Genomic DNA, 21062 nt, shown 5'->3' on the forward strand with positions numbered 1-21062 from the left:
TGTATTTTTAGTAGAGACAAGGTTTCACCACACTGGCCAGGCTGGTCTTGAACTCCTAACCTCAGGTGATCCACCCACCTCAGCCTCCCAAAATGCTGGGATTACAGGTGTGAGCCACCGGGCCCGGCCAAGTGGGGCCAACATTTTAATGAATGTAAACTCTTCTATCTTTTTGCTGGTCTTAGAGATTCTATTTATATTAGACATGTCATGGGGATGCAGAGTGGAAAGGCTCATTGTTTTCTCTCTCCTATCTTCAGTAAATGCACCTCCATTGGTGATTAAATTAGGCTTAAGTATTTCTAACAAAAACAGTTTCTCTAGTTGGGTTTTCCCCTCCATCTGCTAAGGTGGTCTATTTGGAGAGGGAAAGAATAAAGCTAAAAACATTACTCCTTTGGCCATCAAGGCCTCCCGCTTCACCTTAAATAGACTACATATGGTAGGGAGGGTGGGGAAGCCCTTTCATCCCTACGGATTGGCTTGTCCTGACAATGTGTAAAATCTCAGGGAAGAATCTTGTGATTGAAATCTTCATAAGCCAAAGCTAAAAACCACAAATGTTCCCTTTCCCCTCAAATGGTCTTTAGCTACACTTGCTTTTTAAGGGCTTAAAGCTTCTTGCTGGCTAGCTGGCGGCTCACACCTGTATTTCCAGTACTGTGAGAGGCCAAGGCAGGAGGATCACTCGAGCCCAGGAGTTCAAGAGCAGCCTGGGCAACATGGTGAAACCCCCTCTCTACAAAAAAAAAAAAAAAAAAGGCCTGACAGTGCATGCCTGTAGTCCCAGCTACTCGGGAGGCTAAGGTGGGAGGATTGCTTGAGCCAGGGAGGTCGAGGCTGCAGTGAGCCGTGGTTATACCACTGCACTCTAGCCTGGGTGGCAGAGCAAGACCTTGTCTCAAAACAAAAACCAAAAAACCCCCAAAACTTCCTGCCACTGTCCCAGTATTCCTACGTATTTTTTTTTTTCTTTTTAAAGAGAGGTAGGGAGATGTTGGTGATAGGTTGGTAGGTTTCATACAGAAGCTTCGCCAATGTCAGGTGATGTCTAATGCATTCACACACAGATTCCCATGACTGGTAATGCACAGAGCTCCTCCTGAAAGCTTGCATCTCTGAAGCCTGAGCCAGGCTTTCAAGTACAATAACTGCATAACTGCTGGCGCTCTGCTGCTTCAGCCCCAGCGTATGCCCTGAACACTGTAAGTCACTCCCTCCTGTCAAGGGGAGTTTGTTTACCCTATTAGCAAAACGAACTGAGTACTGCCTCTGGGTATGTGAATGCGGCAGATGTCTGGTCAGGAATTCTGCCTGAGGCCAAAGTCTAAAGGCACTGCCAGATGAGGACATCACAAAACTCCCAGCAGTTAAAGGGCTGTAGCAGGGGAAATGACTTAACAGATTGCATGAAATTGTTTAAGAATCATTCTAGGGGTTGTCATGCTTTTCAGATTTGCATAGATATGTCTATAAGCTCAGGACCTGGCTGACAACCACCAGAGTTATACTCACCTCCTACCATATTTTGTCTAGTTCATTACACCTTTTATCCTAGCCTTACAAGTAGGATGTAGGCTATTTTAGAGTTTTTGAAATGGCTTTCTTTTACCAATATTCCCTCCCCATTGCCCCACACCTTCCAATCCATCAATCTATTCATCCATTCATCCATCCATCCATTTAATCAATGCTTATCTAGGTCCTATGGGAGACAGAAATGAAGCAGATGTAAGTCTTGCCTTTAATGTAACCGAAGTGGGAATCAGATGTTCATAAACAGTGCTTGGCACATTGTGAGCACTATAAACATAGCAACATAGATAATTACAATAAAACTAGGAGAAAGTCAAGAGTCCCATAAAAGAAACACAAAAGCTACCAGGACAGGTGTTTGAGAGAAGGAGGGTGACCTCTGATATGATACTTGAAGGAAGATCATTTTGACACTTGGTGATTGGCAATGGGAGATGGGAAGACATTCCTAACTAAAGAAAAGTGAAAGAAAACACAGAAGTGGAAAAATATGGAACACGTGTGAGAAAGAAAATCTCATTTTTCTGGAACACAGGGCATAGAAGCGAAATAACAAGAGAAACTTGGAAAGGTATCTAGGTCTCAGATTTTCAAAGACCCCTGAATGAACAAGTTAGGGAATTTGAGCTGAAGGCAATGGTTAGCAACCAAAATTTTTTTATTTTCGACCTAAAAAAAATGGAGGTATAATTCCAAACAGAAAAATGTACAGATCTTCAGTGTCCAGTTTGATGAGCTGTGACAAATGTCTGTTACCATGTAGCTCCAATCAAGATATAGAACATTTCTATCACTCTAGAAAATTCCTTCTTGCCTCATTCAAATCTGCTCCCCTCCCATTCTCCAGTGGCAACCGAGGTTCTGAATTTCATTCCTATAGATGAGTTTTGTCTGTTCTTGAACTTCATAACAATGCTATCATATAACATGTGCTCTTGTTTCTAGCTGCTTTCGCTCAACATGGTTTTTAGATTCATCCATGTTCCAGATGTTTTAAGCAGGAAAAATAATATGATTATAACTGTACTTTGGATGATTAATCTGCTCTATTGTATGGAGGCCTTTGAAAATGTAAATGTAATTTCAGCAGCATATTTCAGGGAAGTGGTTATCTGTAGAAATGTACAAAGAGATTGGATTCAGACAATAGTGGAGTAGGTAGAAGGCTACAAATCTAGTCAATTAAACAGAGAAGGAGAAGTGAGAAGGGAAAAAAAAGATCACTATAAACTTACCCTCCCCAGTTAAAATCTCTGCAAGGCCTAGGCTTAATCAGCTGATACTTTCAGCAAGATTAATTAACTGCTGAAAATTAACAGCCCTGAAAAAGAGGCACAGGTACATTCAAATGAAGGAGCAGGAATAAATACAAATGAACATGACCCGGGGTTGCAGGGTGGGGGATATAAGAGAAAAACAGAAATAGCAGACAGATTTCAAAGATTAAAATATTTCTAAGGCTAAAATTCACGTGAAACAAAAGAGACCCAGAATAGCCAAAACAAGTTTGAAAAAGCAGAACAAAGTTGAAGAATTCATACTTCCTAATTTTGAAACTTACTTCAAAGCTGCAGCAGTCAGGACAGTGGACACTGCTGTGAGTAGACATATAAATCCATGAAACAAAATTGAGAGTCTCTAAACAAACCCTTACATTTATGGTCAACTGATTGTTGATAAGGGTGTCAGGACAATTCAATGAAGAAAGAATAGTTTTTTCAACAAATGGTGTTGGGATAAGTGGAAACCTGCATTGCAAAAGAATGAAGTTAGAACCCTACCTCAAGCCACATACAAAAACTAACTCAAACCAGATCACAGACCTAAATATAAAAGCTAAAACCATAAAACTATTAGAAGAAAATATGGATTAGAAAACCATTTTTTATATATGACATCAAAAGTACAAGTGACAAAAGAAAATAACACTCATATTGGGCTTCCTGAAAAGTAAAACCTTTGGCACTTCAAAGGACATCATCATGAAAGTGAAAAGACAGTGCACAGAAAGAGAGAAAATATTTGTATATGGGGCAAAATATATGACTAGAGACCTCACAAAATAATATACACATATGGAAAATAAGCATATGAAAAGGTGCTCAATATCATTTGTTTTTAAGCCATTGAAAATTAAAATAGTAAAATGCAATATACATCTATTAGAATGGCTAAAATTCAAAACATTGACAATTTCAAATGCTGGTGAAGATGACACAGTTTGGCAGTTCCTTACAAAGTTAAACATAGTCTTACCATATATGATGGTTAATTTTATATGTCAGCTTGATTGGGCCATGGAGTGCCCAGATATTTTGCCAAACATTTTTCTGGATATTTTGGGATTAAATTAACATTTAAATCAGTAGTCTGAGTAAAGCCGATCGCCCTCCCTAATGTGGCAGGCTTCATCAATCAACTGAAGGCCTGAATTGAACAAAGAGGCTGACCCTCCCCCAAGTTAGAATTCTTCCTGTCTGACAGTTTTTGAATTGGGACATTGACTTTTTCTGCCTTTGGACTTGAACTGAAACATTGGCTCTTCCTGGGTCTCTAGTTTGCCAGCCTTCAGACCAAAATTACACCATCAGCTCTCCTGGTTCCCACCCTTTAGACTCAGACTAGAACTAAATCATTAGCTCTCCTGGGTCTCCAGCTTTCCAATTCATCCTGCAGATCCTGGGAGCCAGTCTCCACAATTGAGTGAGCCAGCCAAATCTCTTTATTATATATGTAAATGTACGTATATATGTATATGTGGAAATGTATAAGTATTTGCATTATATATGTATATGTATTACATATGTGTATATACGTATATGTATTATATACGTATATATTTATACCTCCTATTGGCCTTACTTCTCTGTAGAGTCCTGACAAACAGAATCATGTAATTCGGCAGTTTTTCTCCCAGGTATTTATTCAATTGAGTTGAAAACGTATGTCAACATAAAAACCTGCATACAAATGTTTATAGCAGCTTTACTCATAATGCCCCAAACTGGAAGCAACCCAGATGTCTTTTAATAGATGTCTTAGTCCGTCCAATCTGCTATAGCAAAATACCACAAGCTGGGTGGCTGATAAACAACAGAAATATATTTCTCACAGTTCTGTAGACTGGAAAGTCCCAGATCAAAGCCTGGCAGATCTGGTGTCTGATGAGGGCTGTCCTTTCACTGTAATCCCAAGTGGAGAAAGGAGTGAGGGATCTTTCTGGGGTCTCTTTTATAAGAGCACTAATCCCATCGTGAGGGCCCTGTGTCATGACCTAATCAGCTCCCAAAGGCCCCACTTCCTAATATCATCACCCTGAGGGTTCAGATTTCAACATATGAATTTTGAGGAACATAAACATTCAGACCATAACAATGGGTGAATGGGTAACCAAATTGCTGTATATCCATAATAGGATATTATTCAGAGATAAAAATGAATGAGCTATCAAGCCTTCAAAAGACAAGGATGAATCTTAACATACAGTTTGTTGGCAAAGCTGTATCCTATTTAGAAATATGGACTAACAATTCAGAAACTCCTATACATATATACTGAAATTGGACAGTTAAGTACATGGTTGGTGGATGGTAGGAGCCAAATTTCTCACTGCTGGAATGGGAGTTTACAGACAAGAAAGGGGAAGAGGCTAGAAAAATCCTTGTGGTAATAGATTTAAGTTGGAGACTTTGATACAAACTCATCCTTAGCCAAATATACAGATGGTTACATATAGGAATATTTATAGATATGTGTATCTACACAGGTTATCATGCATTTCCGTATTTCCTACTTCTGTTTGCTGAAAAAAAACTAGTAGCAGTGAGCACACCTAGTGACCAAATCTTGGTTTCTAACACCATTTACCAATAAAATAAACCAGGGTTCCTTGGAAAAATGACTCATTCTAGAATTGGGGCAGGAAATGTGCAAGATGAGCCTGGAGCATCTTAAGAACTTGCTAAACAAACAAACAAAACTCTAAAACATCAGGATGAGAGAATGCCACAGAGACATGGGAGCCAATTGAAAGAGCTCCCAATGGCCTAACTAGAATAATTTAAGAAATAAGAAAAAGTCAAATTGGATTATAATCCCAAGTATAAAATAAATATCCATGAGTACAAACTGATATAAACAAATGATTAAATAATGAAGAGAGACATATGTTCTGTGAAAAAGAATTTCAAATAATTTATGCAGATACTCCACCCTCAAGGAGGTAGAGTATAACCCACTATTTCCTTTTTTTTTGAGACAGGTTCTCACTCTGTTGCTCAGGCTGGAGTGCAGTGGTGCGCTCATAGTACGACGTTGGCTTCCTGCAACCTCCACCTCCCAGGTTCAACGGATCCTCCCACCTCAGCCTCCCAAGTAGCTGGGACGACAGGCGTGTGCCACCATGCCCAGCCAAATTTTTCGCCATGTTGCCCAGGCTGGTCTCAAACCATGTGCCTGCCTTGGCCTCTCAAAGTTATGGGATTATAGGTGTGAGCCACTGCATCCAGCCCAACCCTCTACTTCTTAAGTGTGAACTGCTCATAGTGACTTCCTTCCAAAGAGTACAGTATGGAAGGATTGGGTAGTCTCTTTACAGTGCAGAAACCTGATAAATACTACCTCAGCCAGGTGATCAAGGCCAACATCAACAGTGATGTCATGTTGATAGTATATATTTTTGATATGATATGATGTGATGAAAATAGCACTCTACCTCTGTGGCCTTAGCCCTAGTCTTATCATGAGAAAGACCTCTGGCAAATCACAATAGAGGGATATCTTACAAAAAATATCTGATCAATTCACCTCAAAACTGTCAAGGTCATCAAAAACAAGGAAAGTCTGAGAAACTGTCACAGCCAAGAGGATCCTAGGGAGACATAACAAATAAAATGTAATATGGTATCCTAGATAGGATCCTGGGACAGAAGAAAAAAACAAGATTAGTAAAAATCTAAGGAAATATGAATAAGTATACAGTTAATAATAATGTATTCATATTGATTCATTAATTATAACAAATATACCAGCCAAATGCAAGACGTTAATAATAGGGGAAACTGGGTGTGGTATTTACGGGAAGTCTCTGTACTATCTTTGTAATTTTTCTATAAATCTATAAATGTTCTAAGAAATAAAATTTAAAAGATGGGCAAAGGATTTGAACAGACGTTTCTTCAAAGAAGATACACAAACGGAAACAAGAACATGAAGACATGCTCAACATCATTAGTCATTAAGAAAATGCAAATGAAAATCACAGTGAGATATCACTTCACATCCATTAAGATAGCTATAATAGAAAAGCTGACAATAGCAAGTGTTGGTGAGAATGTGGAGAAAATGAAACCCTCATACATTGCTAATGGGACTGTAAAATGGTATAGGCACTTTGAAAAACAGTTTGGCAGCTCCTCAAAATATTAAATATAGAGTTACTATATGACCCAGAGATTCCACTCCTATGTATAGACCCGGGAGAACTGAAAGCATATATCCACACAAAAACCTGTCCATTCATGTTCATAGTAGTATTATTTATCATAGACAAAATGTGAAATCAACTCAAATATCCATCTACTGATTAATGAATAAACAAAATGTGGCATATATCCATACAATGACATGTTATCTGGCCATATGGCTGCCACTTTACAACATGGATGAACCTTAAAAACATTACGCTAAGTCAAAAAAAAAAAAGACAGTTAAAAAAGCCATTCCACTCATATGAAATGTCCAAACTAGGCAAATCCACAGAAACATAAGGTAGCTTAGTGGTTGCAGAGGGGTGGGGAAGGGGAGAATGGGGAGTGACTGTGTATGGGAACATAGCTTCTTTTGGAGATGACGAAAGAGTTTTGAAGTCAGATAATGATGATGGTTGCACAACTCAATTGTGCACTTTCAAAGGTGAAATGTATCATATGTGAAATATATCTCAATATAGCTGTTATTAAAAAATAATATAGTGCCAAAGACAGCCAGCCCCTACATTACCCTGAGCTAAAAGCAGTAATTACATACCTACAAGCTCATGGTGCTGGGGAGTATAATCTTTGAAGAGACTTACATACACTGACCTGATAATTTAGCATTTAACATATATATATTTTTAGCATTTAATATACATTATTTTATTTAATCCTTATAGTCGTGCCAAGAGGTAGGTGTTATTACCTACAGTTTAAAGACTAGGAAAGTGAAACAGGCTTAAACCCAAGCTGACTTATTCCAAAGCTAGCTCTAAACCATTACATTTTAATGTATTATAATGATTATATCTCAACCTCTCAAATCTTGTATTTCTCATCAAAGTGTCCTATTTACTCCATAAAATTATCTTCAAAAGTTTTATTTTATTTTTCATTGACAAGTAATAGTTGTATATTTTCATTAAAATGTGATGTTTCAATACATGTATATATTGTAGAATGATAAAATTGGGCTAATCAACATATCCAGCACCTCACATACTTATAATTTCTTTATAGTGAGAACATTTAAAATCTAAGATAATATGAAAAAGGCTTGTAACATATTAATTATTAATTTATTCTTCCTTCTCGTATTCAGACAGATACATATTCAGGATGAAAACCACACAGCTAAAACATACAAACAGCATGCCCTTCTTGGTTCCACATAAGAAAACCTGAATACAGAGGCTGTGAACAAAAGGATGCTAAAAAAGATTTACAATTGCTTCAAATTTAAATACTTTTCCAATTCAGAGGTGACTTAATTTTATTTTGTAAAAATATGCCTTTTTGGTTATTTGTGGGATTTTTTTGGGGCCCCAAATTGTGCTTTTTATTATTGGATATTTAAGTAACATGTAAAGGCTTTAGGTATTGCTGTGGTCTGAATGCATCTCTCAAAATTCATATGTTAAAACTTTATCACCAATATGATAGCGTTATGAGCGGAGGCCTTTAAGAGTAATTTAATCATCAGGGCAGAGCTCTCATGGAGGAGACTGGGGCCCTCATAGAAGGGCTTGAAGGAGTGGGCTTGTTCCTTTCCATCTCTTCTGCCATGTGAGGACACAGGGTTCAAGGTGCCATCTTGGAAGCAGAAAGTAACCCTCACCAGTCACTGACTCTGTCCGTGCCTTTCTCGGACTTCCCAGCCCCCGGAACTATGAGAAATAAATTTCTGTTCTTTATAAATTACCAGTCTCAGGTTTTTTGTTACAGCAGCACAAAAAGACCAATATAGGCATAATACATATCAGATTCATGATTCTGTCCCATGCTCTGGTTAATAAAGTGATAGGTGGAGATATATTTAAAGACATTTACACAGAAATTTTATAAGACTGCAATTGAACCACTAATGTAAAAGTCTTATGAAATGATATATTCTGAATGTCTGCTTATTTTAAAAAGGTTAGATATGAAGATATGTGTTTCATAAACAGAGGTCTGCCAGTGTAAGGTAGAGATGAAAGACTAGCTCCACATCAGATAACTTGAATTTAAATGTTAGTTCTGCCTCATTGGACGAATTGCTTAATTCTCCAAGTTTTGCTTTCCCCACCTGTAAAATGAATATTACAACTTTTACGACAAAGAGTTGTTACTGAGAATTAAAAAGAAAAGCATGCAAAGACTTAACAGGGTGCCTGGCAGGCAGTGAGTGTCCCACAAAAAGTCAACCAAAAGAAAATTCACCACAATCTCAAATACTGGTGTAAATACCTAATTGCAAGCTAATTGTCCAAGATTGTACAGCTGGAATTCAATGCCAGATATATCTGAGTCCAACTCATTTGACTACACCATACTATATTATAATGATCATTTGTCATCTTAGAACAAGGCTTGGGCGATGCTTAAGTAAAGCTGGGACAAAAAGCTAAAGATTTTCCCATTCTAGGTTAAAATGTGTTATCTTCCATATTATTTTCGTACCCCAGAGCAACTAACTGTATCCAAGGATAAGTGAGAAGAAACTACTGAAATGATTTTGAAGAGAGATGTCATATACCTAACACCAAATGTTAAAATAGCATTTACTCAATTCTTTGGCAGTCTGCTACTTTGATTAGAACAGAAAATGGGAAAGTGAAAGTGACTTTCTCAACTAATTATGGGCATGTTAAATCACACAGACTATAATATTGGAGATACCTACAAAGAAAGGTACCTGCTTGGATCCAATCAAATATTTTGACCACTATATCAAAAAGCAACTGCTTTGAAATATCATCCTGCTAAAACTCTAAGTTCATATTTTTAACATATAAAAGTGAATAATCACATTAGATATGAAATATATATATAGTATTTTCATTTTTAATGTATATCTGATTAAAGCTTGAAGAATGCATTTGATTTATAATAATGTGGAATCTTGTAAGACATCTGAGTTTTTAAGACTGATTAATTCTTAAATTAATAACTGAGGTTCCACCTATAAAGATCCTAAAGCAACCACTAACATATTTGTTTTCCTGAATTCATTGTTTGCTCAGTAATAGAATTATTCATACAGGAACTCTGTAGGAGTTTGGGGCAGCTATTTTGTAAGCAGAGTTAAGCTAGATTTTGGAAATGTGCTAGAATTTTTCACATTTAACATTTTTGCAAAACATTCTTATCTGTAAACCCAATTTTCTTTTCTTCTATATCTGAAGGAGAGTCTCACCTTTACCAAGCAGAGAACCATGTGAAAGAAAAATCATATGTTGTAAGTGAAAATTTTTTTGAGAAGTTAAGAAAAAGTGCTTATACAAATGCAATGTGTCATATAAATAGTCATTTCTCCAAAATGGTTGGAAAATGTGGTAATCCACTTAAAACAAATATTTTTATTACTAAAAGTTACCATATAAAGCACACATGCCTTATCTATCAATGTCAAACATTTATATATAAAAAGACTCAAACCCTAACGTATGGTACAGGTTAAGTTTTGTTCGTGTTTAGGGAAGTAGTTCGAATCGTCTCATTCCTCAATATCACCATTATGCCTTTTAACCACCATGATATAGAGCTGGATGAAAACACACATTATTTGAGCTCTGAGGTTGACTCTCTTCCAGTTAGAGGGGGCTAATAGGATTGTTATTTTTATCTTGATCCTCACCAGGTTTCTGATGTTCTGCCTAGATCCCACTGTGTTATATTTAGCACCGGCTCTTCCTGCAGGAGCCTCAGCCACGTGGAATCACACTTTCATACCCCCCCCCACCCCCCCGCCTGCTCACTACTGCTGAATACATAATCTAAGCCCTGAAACATGGTTTCTAAAAGATTAATTTCTGCTCACAGAAGTATGGGTGAAAATTTTCCTAATGTGACTTGACTTACCAAGTGAAGTTTATTAAACCTTGTCAGAAACCATCTGACTTGCTAAATACATACACACGCATACATACACACTTCTGAAATACAGTAAAAAATCTTTTCCGTTGAAAAAGAGGAAAGATTTTAGGGGAATAGATGAACAGTGTGTATTTTAAGCATCCCTCTACAGATTACATTTATGTGTATGTTTGGTTTGTAACAACAGCAGCCCAATAAATGTGACGAGACATATATTTCACTCAAATGTTGCTATGGAATCCTTTCCTGACTTGAAAATTAAATTTCTCCATCTGTTTGCATGACTTCGTGTTCATTGTAGTGCCAAGGGCCAGCTGATCTAACAAACATGCTGTAGAACAAATTCCTCAAACCAGAAAAAAAAACAAGCGTGAAGTAGAGCAAATAGCATGAGAAACCGTATATTTCTGAAAGATTCACTCTCCGAAAGCACATTAATGTTGATAAAACTGGTGGCTTTACTTAGGGATATATTCTTACATGGGCAACTAATCATACAAACTTCTCAATAGTACAATGAACATGACCTGTGTAGGAAATGCTGTAAATCCAAATATTGAATAGCATTAAGATACTAAAATAGGGGGATTTAACAGATAATTTAGACATGACTTGAGCTGATTTTAAAAGTACCAAGAAGAAAATAAACCTTATTAAAAATACTTAATGTATTCTATATAATTCTCTTTGTAAAACCAATTTGAAGATTTTTCAATAAAAACAGAAGATTGTGATACAGATGATGCATTCAATACTAATTTTAACTTATTTATAATGTAATTCATGTTAGCAAGTTTCAGAATATTCAAACAAGCCTATTCCAATTAATTCCAATTATCTGAGTAATTTTATATTTATAGGATTATAATTACAAAACATCTAATTTATAAGTGTATCCACCCACATACATTTTGACACTAATATATAATTCTTAATTATTTACCTTAGCAAATTTGTACATTTATCAGAATAGTATATAGAATAAATTACTGATAATTTTTTTTGAAAATTTAAAAAGTAACTTATGAAATATAGGCCACTGAAAAGTCTTTGAAAGTATTTTCCTTTAAAACATTTAATCACTTTTTAAATTCATTTAATTAAATTCTGTTTCTAAAGAGAAACCAGCAGATGTTATTAGCTCACTGTGTTTATCCTCTTCAAATATATATTGTTCCCAAGTAGTTTTTTAGTTATTTGCTCATATCACATTTGTAGGGTTTGTTTTCTTCTCTGACTTGCAGGCAATTTTATTTAAGGACGAGTTTTCCTTCCCCTAGTACACTAAGAAGTTCTGAGAGCAAGAACATTATTGTGCCTTACCTGAATGTTTGTTAAAATGGCTTATCCATCTTTAAATTCTCCCACATTAGTTAACCTGTTATCTTATAATTAAGCATCTGTTTGCTGATTAGCTTTAACATATAGACTCATACTACATTTTCCCTTTGAAGCCATTATGCTTCAGGTACTTAGAATATAAAATTTTTAAAGAGGGTAGAAACTTGAACTTTAGCATCATTTGGAGAAAACACTATCTGATAAACAAAATAATAAATCTTACTTGAGAATTTTAGGTTCATGAAAACTAAGTAGTTATTTAAAAATTATTTTTTAGCAAACTATTACGATTAAAAGAGTCAATCCAGCTGTCTGAAAATATTCGGTAATAGAATCATTCATTCTGATGAAACTGCTGACCTATTTTCTAGGCTTGATGAAGAATTTAACTGTAGTTCTCTATACTTATCATTATTTTTCTATCATAAAATTATCTCAAAGTGCCCCAGAGATATGATGTAACTGATGCAAATAATTACTAGAAAGGAATTTAATAGAGTATTATAATCTTGAGAACAATTCAGCCTGAGCCAATGTTTTCCAAAGTTTCAAGTTAAAGCTGTTCTAGACAAGTTAGGCTTCGGGTGCATTCTTGTATATTTGGAGGGCTTTCTTTGCGTCTTACTTTCTATGCCAACTCTCTCAGATCCCTCGGAAATAGAATCAGAGAGTCAGGCAACATAGAATGTTTTCATGTATTACCAAAAGACTGGTCTCACTGTAAAAAGGTCATTTCCAAAAATAATAAGCATGGATAGCAAAGAAAAAATATTTTAAGGAGAGTGATTAAATAAATAGAAGAAGAATATTTGGTCAAAACTTTCTAGGATAATAAATTAGCAATCATGCTATTTCTGTAAACATTAATAAAATCGTAACGTTTTTCAGATAGCCAAATATTTAACTCATTGGCCCCGATTTCCTTAATATTATAATAAATAACTTGTTTTGTGTGCTCCAAAGTAGCAGTAAAAGTAGACTGGGTAAACATTTGCTGTATCTATTTCTGTAATACATCTCCCACATTATATATACAAGTTAAAGCTTCAAGACTGTGGTTAATTTTAAGCCTAGTCAAGATGGCAGCACACCCACATTCCCAGGCTTAAAATACAGCATCTTTCATAACTGCTTCTTCACACCTTACAGAATTCATATATACTTGCCGTCATATTAATAATATTTCTCCAACCAGGTTCTACTTACATCTGCCTCCAAAATTTGCTCATTTTTTAATGTTCTGATGTTATCCACCAGAACTGGATTTCTTCTTTAAAACACTGAGAAATTTGTTGCAGACAATAGATTTGAATGAGCTAGAATAACAGAAATGACCTGCTAGCTCCTATAAAAACAAAATTTGTTTTCTTCAGATGAAAAACAAAAGCTAGACCAAGGATAACTCAGATTTCCTTCTTTTTACAGAGACTCTGAGACCATAGCAAATATAAGTAGTTGTAGGATGAGAATTAATTTTACCTAGCAGATATTAAAGGCTAAGCCTATTGGTCATAAAAACACGTTAGTGTAACAGAGTAAGAGGGCAATGAAGAAAGGGAAAAGTTGGGCTAAAATTTTATTTTCTTGGACATTTCTTGGAGAATGTGGGGACAGGCACTTTGCTGTTTTAGTTCTTGTTCAGCAACCTCCCCCACTGCCTTCTACTCTGCCACTACAACCAGTAAGCAGGGAGGGAATAAAGTGGAAGGGATCAAAAGGTCTTTGACTCTCACTCCACACTAAGGGCATGCTATTGTACGTAAATGTCTTCAGGGCTGCACAGAGGGAGATGATATGTTTTCTTTGTAGGCTGAAGAGAACTTGATGCTAGAAAAGTGTTCTCAAAAGTTTGGGATAAAAAAACATATTTTTACAAATTGAATTATTAACAACTATGTGTTGAATATCTCTAGGTGTAAGGCACTAGAATTGCCACTGTGGATATACAGATGATTAAGACACTGCCTCTTATTCCAGATTACTCAGCTGGAGTCCAAGTTCCATTAATATAACAGTTATATAGATGACATGGAGAAAGTGCTTCTATAATAGTACAGTAAAAATATGTTTACTTGTTAATATTACCCAAAGTGATCTACAGATTCAATACAATGCTTATTAAAATCTCAATGGCATTTTAACAGAAATAGAAAAAACAATTCTATAATTCACATGGAGCCACAAAAGATCATGAATAGCCAAATCAATCTTGAGAAAGAACAAAGCTGGAGGCATCACACTTCCTGATTTCAAAATATATTACAAAGCTACAGTAATCAAGACAGCATGGTACTGGCATAAAGAAATACATATAGGCCAATAGAACAGAACAGCAAGCCCAGAAATAAATCCACACATATACAGTCAACTAACTTCAACAAAGGTGCAAAGAATTCACAATGGGGCAAGAATCTTATCTTCAGCAAATGGTGCTGCCAAATCTAGATATCCACAAATGAATAAACCTGGTTTCTGATCTTATGCACACAAAACCCCATTCAAAACAGCTTAAAGACTTAAAGGTAAGCCCTGAAACTGTAACACACCTAGAAAAAAACATAAGGGAAAAGCTGCATGACATTGATTTCATGAATGTGACACCAAAAGCACCAGCAACCAAAATGAAAAAGAATAAGTGGGACTATATCAAACAACAACAACAACAAAAAATCTGTACAGGAAAGGAAATTATCAATAGAGTTAAAGGCAACCTATGGAATAGGAGAAAGTATCTGCAAACCATTTGCCCGATAAGGAGTTAACATCCAAAATAAAGAACTCCTATAACTCAATAGTTTTAAACAAATCTGATTTTAAAATGGGCTAAGGACTTGAGCAGACATTTCTCCAAAGAAGAAAGAGAAATGGCCAATAGGTATATTAAAAAAAGTTCAACATCATTAGTCATTAAGGAAATATGCAAATCAAAACTACAATGAAATATCACCTCATACTTGTTAGAATGGCCATTACAAACAAATAAACAAAAGACAAGTGTTGGCATGGACGTGGAGAAACTGGAACCATTACACACTTCATGGGCAGGCAAAATGCTGAAGTCACTACAAAAACAGTATGGAGATTCCTCAAAAAATTAAAAATAGAACTACCATATGATCCAGCATTCCTACTTCTGGGTATTTGCCCAGAAGAATTGAAATCAACATCTCAAAGGAATATGTGCATTCCTGTGTTTCTTGCAGCACTAATCACAATAGCCAAGATGTAGAAATGATCTAAATGCCCATCAACAGATAAATGGGTAAAGAAAACATATATACATACCGTGGAATACTGTTCAGCCTTAAAAAAAAGAATATTCTGTAATATGCAACTACATGGATGAACATTGAGGACATTATGCTAAGTTAAATAAGCTAGTCACAGGAAGATAAATACTGCATGGTTCCACTTATAGGAGGTATCTAAAATAGTCAAATTCATAGAATCAAAGAGTACAATGGCGATTGCCAAGGGGTGGAAGTAGGAGGAAATGGAAAATTACTAGTCATTGGGCATAAAGTTTTAATTAAGCAAGATGAAGAAGTTCTAGAGATCTGTCATATGCCATTGTCCCTAAATTCAACAGTACTGTATTGTACACTGAAAAATCTGTTAAGAGGGCAGATCTTAGGTGTTCTTACTATAATAAGAGAGATACACATTTTTAATGTGAAAGGCTGCTTCAAAAAATGGCACAAGGACATGGATATGAAATGAATCTCCTCTGAGATGTAGACCTGTTCAGAGGGTATGGGGAGCTACAGCTACCTTACTTTCAATTTCAGATCCAAATCTACCATGATGAGTAGCTGCTCCCCCTACAATGGGCTAATACTAAAGCACAGGGGACAATAAGGTGGAAACTAACAAAAATCAGTTATGGTTGTTAGCACACTGGTGCCCTACCAGCAAATCCTGCACTAGGAAGGCAAGGGGACCACTGAGTGTGCAACCACCTTATCCATTGGCATTGCCCCAGATAATAACATGAGGGCAAGACTTGTGAACTTGTGACTTGTGAACTACAGAGCTAATGGTTGTCACTGGTGTGTAAGTGGGTGGGCAACATGCATTTGGACTTAAGGTGATTGATAACTTCCTAAGGGGTAGGGAATGTTTAATGATGTTACATGGGAAGTGCCATGGCAACCACGTTTATTCTAAATGGGGAATACACGCTAAGCTCAGATTTTAAGACAGTAATTCTTAAAATGTTTTTAAATGTCCTTCCCATCAATAGAGAGTACAAAACAACAGTGATGCCAGCAGAGAAAAACACAGCCATGAAACAAAACACCCAGACCAGAGACACAGAACTGCTTCATATAGCCATTTTCAGGCAAAGCAGGGAGCCAGTGTTTTGCCATGCATATTAGAGAAAAGGGAAGCCTCCTACTGACATAACCTAATACTTAGTACTGAAAGGCTATTCCTGAAAAGTACATGAGAGTAAGCAGTCTTAATGACTAGTAACTAGGGCTCTGAAGCTAGAAGAAAACATTCCAGTGGAACACATGGAGAAGAATCTAGTCTGAATGAGACTTCAGTTGCAGTCACTAGAAGTTATCATTAAGACTTGATGAGGAACAACTGATAACTGAACAAAATCTAGTGTGTACACTCAAAATGTGTTACGAATAGTTTGGTATAGTGTATCATTTCAATGACCAAATTATCATCTCATAAAACCCCAAGCAAAGCACCTAAGGTTTAATGTAGTAATACCTGGAGCAAGAGGAAGACTCTACCTGAATATTATAATTAATGTTCTGTTCCCAGAATGAACAACAGGCCATCTGAATTCATTATGGAGTACTCTCTTAATGAGGCTCATTTCTGCGTTTTCTCAAATTAGTGTAAGAAATTAAGCATATGTAGAAAGATGATGAATTCAAATATGAAGTGAGATTTCAATTCAACAAACACTGAGCTATGAGTAGGATGCTGTGCTAAATACTGTGGTTTCACAGATGAAACAAATCCCTTGCTCCAAATGCAAGGTAAGTCCACAAGCAAAGATATGCCATGTGATGAAACAGGTGCCATAATAGAAACAGAAATCAGAGCACAGTATGGGTATGCGTAGGCTCATGATCAATGATTAGGGAGAGCTCAAAGAAAGTATGGGTTCCAAAGAGAGTACAAATAATAATTTTCCTGCTCAGCAGTACTTGTAGGCAGGAGATGCTTTCTTCTTGTTTTGTTCCTTACTGATTAGCAATAATGAAACTCTGCAGCTTTAGATATAAAATATTTATTGAGAGTCAGTACATGGAATAGCACAGATGTCATGAATTAAATACATTATTGAGAACACAAAGTATCAGAAAGCTAGAAGGCTAGCCACCCAGCCCAGACTGTCTGTCTCAGTAAGGTTAGATTAGTTTCAGTAAAGATATAACAAGTCCTCTGATTTTGACTGAGGAGCCCCTATCTAGCAGCACATATAGCTATATATGTGCCTATTTCCTCCTTGTAGTCCATGAGCTACTTGAAGGCAATAACTACATTATGCAGCAGAGTGCATGGCATTTAGAATGTGTTCAGTATTTGAATACTGAATGAATCAATGAATAATTCTATACTGAAAGCACCACTCTCTCCCCCAAAAATAATTAATAATGATTTTTAAAGCCCTTCAAGGTCTTCTACAGCCCTTCAAGGATCTGTCACAACTTCTAGGAATCAGGACATTCATCCGCGTGATGGATGTAAGTGAAAGGTCCACTGCCAATGTTAGCACATTTCCTAGTTGTTTGACCTTTAAGAATTTAAGACTACTCAGGAAAAGCCTGGAAATAAAAGGATCATAGTCTTCAAGATACTCATGAAGTCACCACTTCATTCTAACATAAGCACTGCCTACAGAAAAAGAAAAGACATGAGAGATAATAATGGAACAGCTGTAAAATCTCTTTCTGGAGACAACTAATCAAGCTATAGCTCATCTTGGGTTCTATGTTAATCTTATATACAGCCAAAGCAAGTATACGGAAATTAGTTAACCCCATGAATATCACTATTTTTATTCCATTGTCCTCCAAACAAATTTTTTCACTGCATTTGATATGTACAAACATGTGAAGTTTAAAAAATGTCATCTGTCCAGTCTCTTGTAGAGGAAATAATGTGAACTGAAATAGCTAAAGGACAAAAGAAGTAAGAGGAAGAGAAACATACCTGAAAGAATCTAAGTTACTGACAAACCCCCAGGAACATTTCAATATGACTGTATTAGCCAGACCTATGATAGAGGACTAGTTTGGTTTTGATATTAAATTGCCATTGTCCAAACTCCAGTGATCCACAGTTAACCTGAGATGGACACCTGTTGGTGTTTGGTTGTTTAAGACTTAGGCCTGGTTTCTAAGCACATCACAAATTTCTTTCTGGGAGTTACTTCAACTTTGGATATAATCTGGAGAGGCCCTGAATCCAGTTCCCTGACTTTTTCCAGCCAAGGGGCAGCCATGTGATCCCAGCTTGGTCAATTAAATACCTGCCTGGAATTTAAATCCTGAGCAGAGTGCCTAAGAGACTAAAATGGCTGGGGTTCATCCATTTCATCACTGTCATCCTGACCAGCTGGCTCCTGCTGCAAGAGAACACCTGTTGTTCCTGCTTCCTGCTCTCTGGAGGTAACCTGGTTCCTGACCATGTTCACATCTGGTCCCATAGTCATCTTGTAAGTTCTATGCTCTCCTAGTGGCCTTCTAATAAACTGCCTTTCCTTTAAGTTACTTAGGCTTTTTTGGATATGTGCAGGGCAGGTGTGGCTGGTACTTGCTGCCCTCCTGAGAAGAGTTAGTGTAAGGGGTTACAGCAGAGGTTCCTGTTCTCATGTTACTTTAAAACCTGGCAGCCTGAGTCTACCAATGAGCATCTGTAAACCATGCTGGGGTATGCCTGCCTAATTCTCTTTTCCTATTTTCCTTTTCTATCTCTCTCCCAAGTAAGGCCCAGTTAAAGAAGAATGCTAGGCAAGGACAGTATGGGAAAACTGGGGAAAAGACCACCTTAATTTCTTTCTGCAATCTGCCTTAAACGCAAGCAAAAGTCAGTCATTACATAAAAGCTACTGTTGAGCAACTCTTTCCAAAATAATGTTTACTACCATGATCAATGACACTGAAAACCGACAGTTAATAGAATAACTTTGAGAGAGAGTGGGCCAGGTGCAGTGGCTCATGCCTGTAATCCCAGCACTTTGGGAAGCTGAGGCAGGCAGATTACTTGAGCCCAGGAGTTCAAGACCAGCCTAGGCAACAGGGCAAAACCTCATCTCTACAAATAAATACAAAAATTAGCTAGGTGTTGTGATGTACCTGTAGTCCTAGCTACTTGGAAGGCTGAGGCAGGAGGATCAATTGAGCCTGGGAGATTGAGGTTGCAGTGAGCCATGATCACGCTATTGCACTACAGCCTGGGAGACCCTGCCTCCAAAAAAAATTGAAAGTGAATGGAACATACAGACTGAAAATATATCTGCATATTGTATTCTTGAAACAGAAAATTTGAGCATTAGGAAATTTATAGCCAATACAAACACACACACAAAAACTCACTTAGCAAACAAAATGAATCCCAGACAACTGTAGCACTTTCACACTTGGGAACCTGGTTTGCAGTCTCATGAGTAGAAAAGCATATGAAAATAATAATTAAAATATGTTAGAGACAAGTGTCAACAAACCTAGCTATAAATATCCTCAGTGAGAACATTAAATTTCCTTTGGGAAATTATTGAGAGTGGATTGTACCAGTAAGAATGGAAAAGATCAAATTAAGAAATGGAGGCAACATTTCAGAAAGTAATGCAATCCCAGGAGTCCCTCAATATTATTATAGCCTTACTGGCATTCCTGAGACACAATAGGCTGGAAAAGACCTTGGATGGATGAGAATACTGATGCCCTTCAATACCCAGAGCAAGAGTGCCATCCTCTCTCATTACTCACCAACCTTACAGCAACACTTTTCCAGTACCACTGAGAATTGACAGCACTTTAAATGCTCAGAATTTCCCCTCCCAGCAATATAACAGACTACACATTCTGAAATCCAACTAAACACCTAAACATTCTGGAAAAATACAAAAGCCATGATTATAAAAGAATAGCTAAGCTATAAGTAACTAAAAGGGAAATATCAGAGGATAACGGTAGAGTGAAAACACTAATCCCAAAAGGCTACATTCTCTGTATGACATCCCCCCACCTTGCAAAGAAAATCCAAAGCCAACAAATTAATTTAAAGCAATTCTGTTTCCCTTAGAAACAAACTTAAATCTTCTACAAAGATATGCACCCTCATAGCAGACCTTACAGAATTCATACAGATAAAGTCCCAACAAATATAATTTCATAATTTTTAAAAAATTTGAATTACATGAAAAAGACATCATGAGAAAGAACCAGCAGAATACACTGCACAGACCTGCCAAGACTTCCTATGTTGGAATACTAAAATCAAAATATAAATTAAGTGTGCTATTAAAAGATTACTGAGGGACTTGAATACTTAAGCAAAGAGCATGAAACTATGAAAAATGAAGCCAATTTGAAAAAGAACCAAATAGAACTTCCTGAAAAAAATGATTTAAATGAAAAAATGTATTGGACAAGTAAACAAGTTAATAAGACACAGGTAAAAAGATTAATAGAGAACTAGAAGCCAAAGTTGAACAAACTACCACACTGGAACAGAGACCAAAAAAGAGAGAGAAATACATTTAAAAAGGTTGAGAATCATAAAGGATACAAATAAAGGACTAACATTTATAATAGGACCTCTAGAAAGACACAACTGTGAAGATGAGGGAGAAATGATACATAAAGAAATAGTGCCTAA

General features: G+C 36.6%; 1 protein-coding gene across 98 annotated transcripts in view; it reads right to left on the reverse strand.

The window, feature by feature from the left end:
• NRCAM (neuronal cell adhesion molecule) overlaps nt 1-21062 on the reverse strand; it is a 309072-nt gene that overhangs the window by 209853 nt on the left and 78157 nt on the right. For 4 of the 98 annotated variants that reach the window (NR_163871.1, NM_001371130.1, NM_001371165.1 and 1 more), the window contains exon 3: nt 4649-4718. The exons of the other annotated variants lie outside the window; for them this stretch is intronic. The gene's annotated coding sequence lies outside the window, so the exon portion shown is untranslated. The remainder of the gene's footprint in view (nt 1-4648; nt 4719-21062) is intronic. 98 annotated transcript variants of the gene reach the window in all.

The sequence above is a fragment of the Homo sapiens genome, chromosome 7 (genome assembly GCF_000001405.40).
Source record: "Homo sapiens chromosome 7, GRCh38.p14 Primary Assembly".
Classification (NCBI taxonomy): Eukaryota; Metazoa; Chordata; class Mammalia; order Primates; family Hominidae; genus Homo; species Homo sapiens.